The 15,749-nt window shown below is 37.5% G+C and overlaps 1 long non-coding RNA gene across 1 annotated transcript in view; it reads right to left on the bottom strand.

Moving 5' to 3' along the window:
* LOC105378961 (uncharacterized) overlaps positions 1-2,336 on the bottom strand; it is a 30,013-nt gene extending 27,677 nt beyond the window's left edge. Inside the window, exon 1 of the long non-coding RNA XR_948318.2 lies at positions 2,312-2,336. This is a non-coding gene — a long non-coding RNA (uncharacterized LOC105378961). The remainder of the gene's footprint in view (positions 1-2,311) is intronic.
* Between the last annotated feature and the right edge of the window lie 13,413 nt (positions 2,337-15,749).

The raw sequence follows: 15,749 nt of genomic DNA, 5'->3' as shown, positions 1-15,749 counted from the left end.
CTCCCATAAGGACAGTCCCATTTCTCTTTATTGTCCACACTGGGTCAATGAACATTCAGGTTACATGCTTGTTCCTTAATGCATGTGAAGTTCTGAAACAGTACTTGAAGAAAGCTGTTGTAAGGAAGGCTCACCTTTGAAGAAACGACATCTGAGAAGTGAAGGATAAGAATGCATGAGCTATGGGCTGATCTGGGAGAAAGGCCATTCCACCATCAAAGCAAAGCAAAACAAAACAACACACAGGAGGCCTCTTTTTGTTTCTTACATGTTAAGCAAGGAGATATACAGTAAAATGATGAATAAAGAAGTAGAAAAAAAATGAAAGAGAGACATATTATACTAGGAAAGAATCAGGAGGCTTCTCCAGGGAGATAAGGCAATGGTGAACAATTGCATGTCCTAAAAACCAGGATGCTCAGAAACGTCTTCCTTGAAAAGATAGTATTTAACTTGAACCTGAAGAAGGAAAAGTAGCCAGATACAGGAATGGGTAGGGTAGAAAAGAAAAAAATAAAATAACTTTAGGTGCAAGCATCCAAAGTGATAATGTATCTGGCATGATCAAATAACTGTGGGCTGCAGAAAAGCAGGGTGCTGCTTGTGGCTGGCAGGAAATATGCTGTCTAAGAGGAAATGGGGTCTCAGAACCGAATCCTGAATGAACTTTAGGATATTACACAGAAAGTATTTGTATGTTATTCTGGAAGAATTGCAAAAGTTTCAGAATTTATTTAAGCATAGAAGTTACTTGATGTCTATATAATGTGATAGCTCTGATTACACATTGTTAGATATTTGCATCTACTTTTCTCTCTCTCTAGAGCTTTCTTCCGCCAAGTGTTTTCATAGCTCATGCCTGAACCTCTGCAAATATTTTACTCAAGTAGCACATTCCCAGTAGTCTTCTCTTTCTACTCTATTTTAAAAAAGACCCCATAATTTCTTATTCTCCTTTATCCTTCTATGCTTCCTTTTCCTTCTTACCACTTTAACCATCAAAATTATACTTATTTTACTTACATTTCTCATTTACTGTGTGTTTCCCTCATTAGGATGTAAACTCCATAAAGGCAGGAATTTTTGTCTGTTCTGTTTAATGCTATATTCCCTATATGTAGAACAATGACAGGCACATAACATATGTGCCCAATAACTATTACTTGAATTAACGAATGGTATGCAAAATTCAAACCAGGAAAAACAGGTAGGATTTATATCACTCCATGAGATAGATTTGACTGACCTGGATTATGAAATGTTCATAGAACCTGAGAACTAGCAATGAGTTGAAGGGGAGGGAAGAAGAAAAGGGTAAGTGGGTGGGATCAAGGATAATTGCCTGATTTGACTGGTGATGTATGGAAGGAAGGAAGGAAGGAAGGAAGGAAGGAAGGAAGGAAGGAAGGAGAGAGGAAGGAAGGAAGAAGGAAGGAAGGAAGGAAGAAAGAAAGAAAAAGAAAGAAAGAAAGAAAGAAAGAAAGAAAGAGAATTGAAAAGAAAAGTTTATTGCATCAGTCAGGCACTGTTTGGCCAAAGTCATTACACTTCCCTGAAGGCATTCTATTAATGTATGCCTTGAAAGACTCTCCCACTGTTTTGAGAAGTTGTATATATGAAAAACCATCCTCTGGTCTCTTAAATATCTATTGTTCATGTTGATTGTACCTGTCAACACCGGGAAAGTAAGCTGTTACCTTTCCATCTTTTAAACCCCAATAAAGTATGCTTATTTTCAAAGTGTTATAGTACTCGGCATTTCATGTATCATTACTCACCATCGGGCCTAATGAAGGGATTTACCACAAAGGAAAAAGCAATTTCAGACAAAAGAGCTATTTTTTTTTCAAGTTTAAGTTCATTGTGAATATGGGAAAGTTTGCCTTGGGAAAATATATGGGCTTCTCTGTTCAATTCCATTTTAGACAGCAGATGACATTTAGTTACAGGCATTACCATAATAAGTTTGCATTTAGTCACAGGCATTACCATAAGTCTGTTTCATGCAAGTTCTAAGTCATCAATTTTTTAAAGTGCATTTTTTGTTAGGTGAAGTAAGGGTGTGTCTGTTGGTGTACAAGAAAAAAATTAATTAACATATTTACAAAATAGCCAACTCTTTCCCCTCTCTGACGTCTATTCTTACTCATTCTTCTTATTTCTATCACAAGTGGCATACTGGAATAAAGCTCATGAACCCTCTCTTATGAAAAGAAAAACACTGTAAATGGTTAGGTCAGTTGGAGATATTGCTCCAGTAATGACTTCTGGGCTTCAATTCCATAAACCCTCTCATACTAGGGTACTGCACCTGATATGGTTTGGATCTGTGTAGCCACCAAATCTCAAGTTGAATCATAATCCCCAGTGTTGGCGGTAGGGCCTGGTGGAAGGTGACTGGCTCATGGGTGGAACTTTCATGAATAGTTTAGCACCATCCCCATGGTGCTGTTGTCATGACAGAGTTTTCACGAGATCTGGTTGTTTAAGAACGTGTAGCACCTTCTTCTTCTTCTCTCTCTCTCTCTCTCTCTCTCTCTCACTCTTGCTTATGTCATCTAAGATGCTTCACTCCCCCTCTGCCTTTTGTCATGATTGGAAGCTTCCCGAGGGCTCCCTAGAAGCAGATGCTGCCATGCTTTCTGTACAGCCTGCAGAACCATGAGCCGATTAAACTTCTTTTGTCTTATAAATTACTCAGTTGCAGGTATTTCTTTATAGCAAAGCGAGAATGGGCTAATATAGTACCCAATAACCTCCTAGAAAATTGTTGCTACTTGATTCCGTTTCCCGTTGTTCCTCTGATATTCTGACACATTCCAATAAAATCTATACTTTTGTACTTTCCCCATGATTGGTTTCTCCTTTTACTCTCCAATTTTTTATTTTTAAATTTAAACCTGTTGGTGTTTTAGAATGTCTTAACACTGAACATCTCACCCTTCTTCTCATTTTTATACTGTGTTATTTCAACCTTGCTTTTAACTCCCACGTCATTTCAAGTTAGAGACATATTTCAATAAATACATCTTTGGATTTATCAACATATTTACCACTCTCTTCACTCTCCATTACTCTTTTCCCACTTATTCATTCAGAGTTCAATTTCATTTTGGCCAAAGTGCATCGTTTGGTAATTCATTAAGCAGGAATGAATAAGTAGCAAACTCTTTGCATGTCAGAAAATGTATTTATTTACTCTCAATATTGAAAGATACTATTTCCAGGTATATTATCCTAGTTTAAATATTTCTCTGCTCTATTTTAACAATATTAAAATATTGTTTAGGCAATTGTTTGTTTCTGCTATTATTACTAACAAGAGATCGGCTGTCAGTATAATTATTGCTTCATTGTACATGGGTTTATTTTCTAGTAGGTCTTTACAAATTTCTCATTTTGTCTTTAGATTTTTGTAGTTTCAGTGTGCTAAGTCTAAATCAGAATGTGTTTTATATTTCCATTCCAGGCATAGTATGCTCCTTCAAAATTCTCATCTATTATCACTCATAACATTGATTCTGCTCTGTTCTTTCTATTCTAATCTAGAATTCATGCTATTCATACGCTGATAGTACTGAAAACCATTTTTCAATTCAGTAATTTTCTATGCTTCTGTGGATCTTTCTGCTGTAATTTTCAAGTCTGTCTTTTTTTATTTTGGGGCCTTCTATGTGTTTGTTGTTTTGAAATCTACCTATATTTTTATATATGGTGGTCTTATAATTAGGAGAATGTTCTGAACTAGATCTGAAGAGGTTCTTTGACTTATTTCTACAAAGTTGACCTTCTTTCATGCCACTTTGCATTTGAATTTGCTGCATCATGAAATTGAAGACTTCACACGAAATCTCTATTAAATCACTAAATAGAATTCCACATGTATAGCTGTTGTTTCAAAGGGCATTATTTGCCTCCAATAATGACTGAAAAATTATATGTTTTTTTTTCTGACAAAGTGTGAAAATTACAATATTACTATACTTATTTTATTGGAAAGATCATCTGGTTTTGATAAATATAAAAATAATCTTTGGTTAGAACATGATTGCCCCCAGAAATGCCACGGATAGTACAGTCAAGAGCTTACTTGCAAGGGCAATACCTCAGGATATGTGGCTTTTAGTTATGTTATGCTTAATGTATATATTTTATAGCAGGAGTTTATATAAGTTTGTTTTAAGAATACATTGCCAGTTTGCTGGCATGGGCACATAAGCTCAATTTTTATTTAGTAACGGTAGTTTTTTCTGTAAGTTTTACCACTTCCCTCATTTTTAAGATTTTTGTAAATAATTAAGGTAAATTGATAGTAGACTTACATGAAATCTTAGTTTGAATAAGCATCCGTGTTTGTTCTATTTATCCAACCAAAAGCATTTAATTGAACAACTACTTTGCCCTAGCCACTGTGTAAAGTTGGTGAAAGAAGATGATGAAAACAGTGGTCAATGAACAAATAAGTTGTTTTCTTGCAAGAAGTTCACTATTAAGAGTTTTATATATCTTTAAAGTAATAACATTGAAGTGACTCATGTTAGGAGAAAAATAGCTGTTACTTTGGAGTGGAAAGTATTACCCATATGGCTACTTTTGCACAACAACATAGAAATACATGGAGAATATTTACTATTTGGGAAGTACTGTGCCAAGTGTTTCCAATAGGCTGTATAATTTAATTCCCGTGCCACATCCATGTGTAGATGAAGAAACTATGGAATGGAGTTAACTCATTCACTCAGCTAGTAAGTGGCAAAGTATTGTATCATTCACAGTGTAGTCCTATTTCAAATACATAATAAAAGAAGTCAATTACCCAGGATATGATGCATGTCAGGTTTGCCAACCAGCTCTAACACTTAACTAAATGTATTGCACAAGTAACTTGACCTCTTTTTGCCTTTGTTTTACAATCTATCTATATATAGAAATAATAATAATAGTCCTACTTTCTTAGGGTTCCTGAAGGAATCAAGTGAATCACATATGTTAAATAGCTTACCACTGTAAATATCTAATAATTTTTAGTCATTTTGTTTTCTTTTTTTTTTTACAACTACAACTATTAACCTATAACAAGACAGATTTGAGGTACAGTAGGTTTAATTTCAAAATTTTCTGACAAGTAGAGTTCTACACTGATACAATTTGCTGCCTCAGAATATACTGTGCTGCTTATCACTAGACACAGGTACTGCTAATTTCCCATAAGACTGTTATTTCACTGCGTGGCTGGAGAGAGAGCATTGAGATATCTGTTTATTCACTCATAAACCTTTAATGAGTTTCTATTTGTGCTAGTTACTGAGACAAATGCAGTAAAACAAAATGACAAGTAAGGCACAGCCTACATTTTCAATAAGGTTACTATCTACTAGGGGAGAGGAAAAAGAAACATAATTAAAATACGATAGAGTTCAGTATTATGTTAAGGGTATACTAACCCCTTTATTTCAGGATGCAAGAATCATTAAGTGCAGAAACTTTGTCTTGTTCTCTGCTGAAACCCCAATGCTTTTGGAAGCCCCTTGCATGTAACAGGGTCTCAAATAAATACTTGACACTTAAAGAATGAGAGGAAACAAGGGGAGTCTTATTGAAGATGGCAACAAGTAGGGATTAACTCAAGAGAAGAAAAAAAATGTATTCCGGAATGTAGTTATCACTTCTAGAAAATCTTAGAATCGAATAGTCATATGTAGTTTCAGGAAAATGTAAGCAATTCATCACTACTGAAGGTTAGGTAAAGAAGGAGAGAAATAAAAGGAAGATCTTGAAGACTCCTGGTAAGGGATCTATGGGTCTATGGGGGATATGTGCAAGCAAATCAGCCCCAAAGTGCTATCATCAGATTTGCCTGCTAGAAAAAGAATTATAGTCACAGTTGCAGAGTGAATAATGGTTGAGATGGACAAAAGGAGAAATGAAACAAAATTAAACATTAAATATCATTTTTAAATATTACGGTCTTCACATAAGGCTGGACTCAGTGGCTCACACCTGTTAATCCCAGCACTTTGGGAGGCCATAGCAGGCAGATCACCTGTAGTCAGGAGTTCGAGACCACCTTGGCCAACATGGTGAAACCCCATGTCTGGTAAAAATACAAAAATTAGCTAGGTATGGTGGTGCCTGTAATCCCAGCTACTCGGGAGGCTGAGGTAGCAGAACCACTTGAACCCAGGAGGCAGAGGTTATAGTAAGCTGACATAGCACCACTGCACTACAGCCTGGGCAACAGAGCGACATTCTGTCTCAAAATAAATAAAATAAAATAAAATAAAATAAAATAAAATAAAATAAAATAAAATCTTTATATAGATGATTTGAGCATACTTTTAGATTAAACCTATACTTCTGACATTAGGAAGCCACTCACGATGTACTCATAGTTTCTGAAACTCTCAGCTGAGCATAATGTTAGAAAGTAGACATGAAGAAATAGAAGGTAAAAATTAAGTTATTGATGTTTCGTTCTGTTGATACACGACAGAAAGCACAGTTATGAGATTTCATAGTCTGACTAAAAAGCACTCAATATTTAATTAGAGGGAAGCAATACATCCTTATTATTGAAAAGCAACACTATGAAACAAATCACTCTAAGAATTCACTAAAATGACTTTCTTGATTACCATTACCAATTTTTATAGAAATTGACCTGGAAATTTTGAATATGTCTTCAAAAGAAAAGCATTTTCCATTTTAGTGACAAACAGCAGAATTTCATGAGGTTTTTCTTTTTTATAACAATTTCAACTTTAATGATTAACAATTGTTTATATTTTCATAAAATTAAATCTCCACTCTGAATTTCAACATTTGAAATGTATGTCCCTCTTAAGTTAATCTTAAGATAGAAATCTTTATCAGGTGGAGCCAAGATGCCCAAATAGACACAGCTCTAGTCTACAGTTCCCAGCATGAGTGACACAGAAGACAGGTGATTTCTGCATTTCCAACTGAGGTACCGGGTTCATCTCACTGGGGAGTGTCGAAAAGTGGGTGCAGGAGAGTGGGTGCAGTGCACCGAGTGTGAGCTGAAGCAGGGCAAGGCATCACCTCACCTGGGAAGTGCAAGGGGTCAGGGAATTCCCTTTCCTAGTCAAAGAAAGGGGTGACAGATGGCACCTGGAAAATCAGGTCACTCCCACCCTAATACTGCACTTTCCCAATGGTCTTAGCAAATGGCACACCAGGAGATTATATCCCATGCGTGGCTCGGAGGGTCCTACACCCACGGAGCCCTGCTCATTGCTAGCACAGCAGTCTGAGATCAAGCTGCAAGGCAGCAGCGAGGCTGGGGGAGGGGTGCCCGCCATTGCCAAGGCTTGAGTAGGTAAACAAAGCAGTGAGGAAGCTCAAACTGGGTGGAGCCCACCACAGCTCAAGGAGGCCTGCCTGCCTCTGAAGACTCCACCTCTGGGGGCAGGACATAGCCAAACAAAAGGCAGCAGAATCCTTTGCAGACTTAAATGTTCCTGTCTGACTGTTTTGAAGAGAGTAGTGGTTCTCCCAGCATGCAGCTTGAGATATGAGAATGGACAGACTGCCTCCTCAAGTGGGTCCCTGACCCCTGAGTAGCCTAACTGGGAAGCAACCCCCAGTATGGGCAGACTGACACCTCACACGGCCGGGTACTCCTCTGAGACAAAACTTCCAGAGGAATGATCAGGCAGCAACGTTTGTTGTTCACCAATATCTGCTGTTCTGCAGCCTCCACTGCTGACACCCAGGCAAACAGGTTATAGAGTGGACCTCCAGCAAACTCCAACAGACCTGCAGCTGAGGGTCCTGACTGTTAGAAGGAAAACTAACAAACAGAAAGGACATCCAAACCAAAAACCCAACTGTAAGTCACAATCATCAAAGACCAAAGGTAGATAAAACCACAAAAATGGGGAAAAAACAGAGCAGAAAAACTGGAAACTCTAAAAATCAGAGCACCTCTTCTCCTCCAAAGGAACACAGCTCCTTACCAGCAATGGAACGGATGGAGAGTGACTTTGACAAGTCGAGAGAAGAAGCCCTTCAGACAATCAAACTACTCCGAGCTAAAGGAAGTTCGAACCCATGGCAAAGAAGTAAAAAACCTTGAAAAAAAAATTAGATGAATGGCTAACTAGAATAACCAATGCAGAGAAGTCCTTAAAGGACCTGATGGAGCTGAAAACCAAGGCACAAGAACTACGTGACAAATGCACAAGCCTCAGTAGCTGATTCGATCAACTGGAAGAATGGGTATCAGTGATGGAAGATCAAATGAATGAAATGAAGCTAGAAGAAAAGTTTAGAGAAAAAAGAATAAAAAGAAATGAACAAAGCCTCCAAGAAATATGGGATTATGTGAAAAGATCAAATCTACATCTGATTGGTGCACCTGAAAGTGACAGGGAGAATGGAACCAAGTTGGAAAACACTCTGCAGGATATCATCCAGGAGAACTTCTCCAATCTAGCAAGGCAGGCCAACATTCAAATTCAGGAAATACAGAGAATGCCACAAAGATACTCCTCAAGAAGAGCAACTCCAAGACACATAATTGTCAGATTCACCAAAGTTGAAAAGAAGGAAAAAATGTTAAGGGCAGCCAGAGAGAAAGGTCAGGTTACCCACAAAGGGAAGCCCATCAGACTAACAGCTGATCTCTCCACAGAAACTCTACAAGCCAGAAGAGAGTGGGGGCCAATATTCAACACTCTTAAAGAAAAGAATTTTCAACCCAGAATTTTATATCCAGCCAAACTAAGCTTCATAAGTGAAGGAGAAATAAAATACTTCACAGACAAGCAAATGCAGAGAGATTGTGTCACCACCAAGCCTGCCTTACAAGAGCTCCTGAAGGAAGCACTAAACATGGAAAGGAACAAATGGTACCAGCCACTGCAAAAACATGCCAAATTGTAAAGATCATCGAGGCTAGGAAGAAACTGCACCAACTAACAAGCAAAATAACCAGCTAACATCATAATGACAGGATCATATTCACACATAACAATATCAACCTTAAACATAAATGGGCTAAATGCTCCAATTAAAAGGCACAGACTGGCAAATTGGATAAAGAGTCAAGACCCATCAGTGTGCTGTATTCAGGAAACCCATCTCACATGCAGAGACACACATAGGCTCAAAATAAAGGGATGGAGGAAGATCTACCAAGCAAATGGAAAACAAAAAAAGGGAGAGGTTGCAATCCTAGTCTCTGATAAAACAGACTTTAAACCAACAAAGATCAAAAGAGACAAAGAAGGCCATTACATAATGGCAAAGGGATCAATTCAACAAGAAGAGCTAACTGTCCTAAATATATATGCACCCAATGCAGGAGCACCCAGATTCATAAAGCAAGTCCTTAGAGACCTACAAAGAGACTTAGACTCCCACACAATAATAATGGGAGACTTTAACACCCCACTGTCAACATTAGACAGATCAATAAGACAGAAAGTTAACAAGGATATCCAGGAATTGAACTCAGCTCTGCACCAAGAGGATCTAATAGACATCTACAGAACTCTCCACCCCAAATCAACAGAATATACATTCTTCTCAGCACCACACCTCACTTATTCCAAAACTGACCACATAGTTGGAAGTAAAGCACTCCTCAGCAAATTTAAAAGAACAGAAATTATAACAAGCTGTCTCTCAGACCACAGTGCAATCAAACAAGAACTCAGGATTAAGAAACTCACTCAAAACTGCTCAAATACATGGAAACTGAACAACCTGCTCCTGAATGACTACTGGGTACATAACGAAATGAAGGCAGAAATAAAGAAGTTCTTTGAAACCAACGAGAACAAAGACACAACATACCAGAATCTCTGGGACACATTGAAAGCAGTGTGTAGAGGGAAATTTATAGCACTAAATGCCCACAAGAGAAAGCAGGAAAGATCTAAAATGGACACCCTAACATCACAATTAAAAGAACTAGAGAAGCAAGAGTGAACACATTCAAAAGCTAGCAGAAGGCAAGAAATAACTAAGATCAGAGCAGAACTGAAGGCAAAAGAAACACAAAAAATCCTTCAAACAATCAATGAATCCAGGAGCTGGTTTTTGGAAGAGATCAACAAAATCGATAGACCGCTAGCAAGGCTTATAAAGAAGAAAAGAGAGAAGAATCAAATAGACGCAATAAAAAATGATAAAGGGGATATCACCCCCGATCCCACAGAAATACAAACTACCATCAGAGAATACTATAAACACCTCTATGCAAATAACCTAGAAAATCCAGAAGAAATAGACAAATTCCTCAACACATACACCCTCCCAAGACTAAACCAGGAAGAAGTTGAATCTCTGAATAGACCAATAACAGGAGCTGAAATTGAGACAAAAATTAATAGCTTACCAACCAAAAAAAGTCCAGGACCGGACGGATTCACAGCCGAATTCTACCAGAGGTACAAGGAGGAGCTGGTACCATTCCTTCTGAAATTATTCCAGTCAATAGAAAAAGAGGGAATCCTCCCTAACTCATTTTATGAGGCCAGCATCATCCTGATACCAAAGCCTGGCAGATGCACAACAACAAAAAAGAGAATTTTAGACCAATATCCCTGATGAACATCGATGCAAAAATCCTCAGTAAAATACTGTCAAACCGAATCCAGCAGCACATCAAAAAGCTTATCCACCATGATCAAGTGGGCTTCATCTCTGGGATGCAAGACTGGTTCAACATATGAAAATCAATAAATGTAATCCAGCATATAAACAAAACCAATGACAAAAACCATATCATTATCTCAATAGATGCAGAAAAGGCCTTTGACAAAATTCAACAACCCTTCATGTTAACAACTCTCAATAAATTAGTTATTGATGGGATGTATCTCAAAATAATAAGAGCTATCTATGACAAACCCACAGCCAATATCATACTGAATGGGCAAAAACTGGAAGCATTCCCTTTGAAAACTGGCACAAGACAGGGATGCCCTCTCTCACCACTCCTATTCAACATAGTGTTGGAAGTTCTGGCCAGGGCAATCAGGCAGGAGAAGGAAATAAAGGGTATTCAATTAGGAAAAGAGGAAGTCAAATTGTCCCTGTTTGCAGATGGCATGATCGTATATCTAGAAAACCCCATCATCTCAACCCAAAATCTCCTTAAGCTGATAGGCAACTTCAGCAAAGTCTCAGGATGCAAAATCAATGTACAAAAATCACAAGCATTATTATACACCAATAACAGACAAACAGAGAGCCAAATCATGAGTGAACTCCCATTCACAATTGCTTCAAAGAGAATAAAATACCTAGGAATCCAACTTACAAGGGATGTGAAGGACCTCTTCAAGGAGAACTACAAACCACTGCTCAATGAAATAAAAGAGGATACAAAGAAATGGAAGAACATTCCATGATCCTGGGTAGGAAGAATCAATATTGTGAAAATGGCCATACTGCCCAAGGTAATTTATAGATTCAATGCCATCTGCATCAAGCTACCAACGACTTTCTTCACAGAATTGGAAAAAATTATTTTAAGGTTCATATGGAACAAAAAAAAGAGCCCACATCGCCAAGTCAATCCTAAGCCAAAAGAACAAAGCTGGAGGCATCACACTACCTGACTTCAAACTATACTACAAGGCTACAGTAACCAAAACAGCATGGTAGTGGTACCAAAACAGAGATATAGACCAATGGAACAGAACAGAGACCCCAGAAATACTGCCACATATCTACAACCATCTAATCTTTGAAAAACCTGACAAAAACAAGAAATGGGGAAATGATTCCCTATTTAATAAATGGTGCTGGGAAAACTGGCTAGCCATATGTAGAAAGCTGAAACTGGATCCCTTCCTTACACCTTATACAAAAATTAATTCAAGATGGATTAAAGACTTACATATTAGACCTAAAGTGATGAGTTCAGCAACAGAACAAGTTCTTTAAAATGTAAAAAGATTAAAAACCAAACACCGCCTGTTCTCACTCATAGGTGAGAATTGAACAATGAAAACACATGGACACAGGAAGGGGAACATCACACACTGGGGCCTGTTATGGGATAGGGGGGAGGGGGGAGGGATAGCATTAGGAGATATACCTAATGTTAAATGATGAGTTAATGGGTGCAGCACACCAACATAGCACATGTATACATATGTAACTAACCTGCACTTTGTGCACATGTACCCTAAAACTTAAAGCATCCACTCATGTGCTTTCTTAGTTAATTGTATTTGTAAATAATGAAGAAAAGGAAGCATTGAAAATATCTATTCCATTTTTCTTCATATCTTCACTACTTTCCCCAAAGGAAAAAGAAATTTACTGGTTAGAATCCAGAGTATGTGCTGAGTTACATTTACTGAAATCACTCTCTAGGAGGTTGAAAATACATTTCCTTGAATGAATTTTTCTGATAAAATATCATCTGTCATGGAGGGCAACTTCCTCAACTTTATAGAGAATATCTACAAAGATTCTAGAGCTACCATCATACCTAAAAGTAAGAAACTATTACCTTTCCTACTAAGATTAGAAACAAGACAAGGATATCTCCTCTCAACATTCCTTTTCAGCATTCTACTGGACGTACTAACTAATGCAAAGAAAAAAAAATAAAGGGTATGCAGATTGGGTAGAAAAAAATAAAACTGTATTTTTTTCCCACAGTGGACGTGACTGTTTGGTAGAAAATCTGTAAGAATAAACAATCAAAAAAATCTTGGAACTAGTGTTTATAGCAAGGCTGCAGGATACAAGATTAATATACAAAAGTCAATCAATTTTCTATATATTAGCAATGAAAATGTGGAATTTGAAATTAAAGAGATGATATTATTTACATTAACAGCCCTCGAAAGGAAATACTCAGGTATAAATCTAACAAAATATGCACAAGATTTATACAAGGAAAGTTACAAAACTTGAGTACAAAAAATCAAAGAACTAAACGTATGAAGAGATATCCCATGTTCATGGATTGGAAGACTCAATATTGTCAAGATGCAGTTCTCCTCAACATGATATACAGATTCAATACGATCCCAATCAAAATGCCCCCCCCAAAATATCTGGAGGTATAAATTGATATGAATCTTAAATATAGAGACAAAAGACCCAGAATAGCCAACACATTATTGAAGGAAAAGAACCAAGTAAGAAGACTGATTCTACCTGACTCCAAGATTACAATAAAGCTTAATAATCAAGACAGTGTGCTAGTGATAAAGGAATAGACAAGTAGATAAATGGAACAGAATAGAAATCCCAGAAATAGGCCCACACAAATATAGTCAACAGGTCTTTGACAAAGGAGTAAAGTCAATACAATATAGAGAAGATAGCCTTCAACAAATGGTGCTGAAAAAACTGAATATCCTTATTTAAAAAAAATCAGTCTGAAAAGATACCTTACACCATTCACAAAAGTTAATTCTGAATGGATCACAGACATAAATGGAAAAATCAAAACTGTAAAATTTCTGGAATGTAACAGGAGAAAACCTAGATGACCCTGGGCATGGCGATGACTTTTAGACACGATGCAAAAGCACAATGCACGAAAGAACAACTTGACAAGCTGACGTTGTTAAAATTAAAAATCTGTGCTCTGCAAAAGACACTGTTAAGAGAATAAAAAGACAAGACACAGACTGGGAGAAAATATTTGCAGACATATCTTATAAAGACTGCTATCCAAAATGAACAGAGAACACTGAAATCTCAATAGTAAGAAAATGAACAACCTATTTTAAAAATAGGCAAAAGACCTGAACAGATACTTTATCAAGGAATATATAGAGATGACAAATAAACATAATAAAAGATGGTCCACAACATATGTCTTCAGATAAATACAAATTAAATATCAGTATTAAAATGGCCAAAATCCAGAACACTGGAAACAAAAAATGCCAGCCAGTATGCAGGAACACTCATTTACTGCTGGTAGGATTGCAAAGTAGCACACTTGCTTCAGAAGACACTATTGCACTTCGTTACAAAAGTAAATATACTTTTACCATGTGATCCAACAATCTCATTCCTTTACCCAAAGGAGCTGTAAACTGTGTCCATATAAAAACCTGCACAACACAGGTGTCTATAGCAGCTTCATCAATAAGACAGAGAGAAATTAAATGCATATTACTAAGCGAAAAAAACTCAATCTGAAATGGCTACATATTGTATGATTCCAACTATATAACATTCTGGAAAAGGCGAAACTATGGAGACAGTGAAAAGATGAGTGCTTCCCAGGGGTTATGAGAGCAGAAAGAATAAATAGGTAGAGTACAGAGGGCTTTTAGGTCACTGAAAAATAAATGATACTATATTGGTGAATACATGTCATTATGCATTTGTCCAACTCCATAGGATGTACACCAGGTGTTAGCCCCTATGTAAAATGTGGACTGTGAGTGGTATTGATATGTCGATGTGGGTTAATCAACTGTAGTAAATGTACTACTTTGGTAAGGGATGTTGATAATGAGAGAGGGTATGTGTGCATGGGGTCAAGGATTATGTGGAATATCTCTGTACCTCCCTCTCAGTTTTGGTGTGAACCAGACACTGCTTTACAAAAAATAAAGTTTAAAAGAAACATCAGCTCTCATTCTTATCATTGGGTTTCTCTGTATAACGTATCTTTTTCCTGACCATTTCAGTGTTTTTTCTCTGTGATTTTCTAAATTTCAATGAGATATGATTCATATATTATAAAGCTAAATACATTAAAGTGTGCAATTCTGTTGTTTTTACTATATTCACAGTGAGGCAACCAGTACTACTATCTAATTTTAGGATGTTTTTATCACTCCCCAAAAGAACCTCATACCCATTAGCAGTCACTCCCATTTCACCCTAAGCCCACCAGTTAGAGTTAAAGAGTAACCTACTTTCTGCTTATACAGATTGGCCTGTTTTGGACATTTTACGTGAAGTAAATCATACAATGATATGATTTGGCTCTGTGTCCCCACCCAAGTCTCATTTTGTAGCTCCTATAATTCCCATACAATACAGTAAATTGGTACCAGTAGGGTGGGGTGCTGCTGAAAAGCTACCCGAAAATGTGGAAGCGACTTCGGAACTGGGTGACAGGCAGAGGTGGGAACAGTTTGGAGGGCTCGGAAGTAGACAGGAAAACGTGAGAAACTTTGAAACTCCCTGGAGACTTGTTGAATGGCTTTGACCAAAATGCTGATAATAATATGGACAATGAAATCCGGTATGAGGTGATCTCAGATGGAGATAAGGAACTTGTTGGGAACTGGACTAAAGCTGACTCTTGTTATTTTTTAGCATGGCTGGGGAGGCACCAGAAAACACAATCAGGGCAGAAGGCAAAGAGAAGGTAAGGCACCTTCTTCACAAGATGGTAGGAAGGAGAAGTGCCCAGCAAAACTGAGGAAGAGCCCCTTTTAAAACCATCAGATCTCATAAGAACTCACTCACTACCACAAGAACAGCATGGAGGAAACTGCTCCCATGATTCAATTATCTCCGCCTGGTCCTGCCCTTACCACGTGGGGATTATGAGGATTATAATTCAAGATGAGATTTTGTGTGGGGACACAGGCAAACCATATAAGGGCATTTGAGTCTTTTCTCTTTTTTTATTTTTGATCAGTCCAGGTAAAGTTTTTTTCAATTATATTGATCTTTCAAAGAGCCTGGGCTCAAGTGATCCACTCACCTCAGCTTCCTGAAGTGCTAGGATTACAGGCATGAGCTACTGTGCAAGGCCTGAATTCTTTAATTGTCTC

Source organism: Homo sapiens, chromosome 5 (genome assembly GCF_000001405.40).
Source record: "Homo sapiens chromosome 5, GRCh38.p14 Primary Assembly".
Classification (NCBI taxonomy): domain Eukaryota; kingdom Metazoa; phylum Chordata; class Mammalia; order Primates; family Hominidae; genus Homo; species Homo sapiens.
This window is presented reverse-complemented; position numbering and strand designations above follow the sequence as displayed.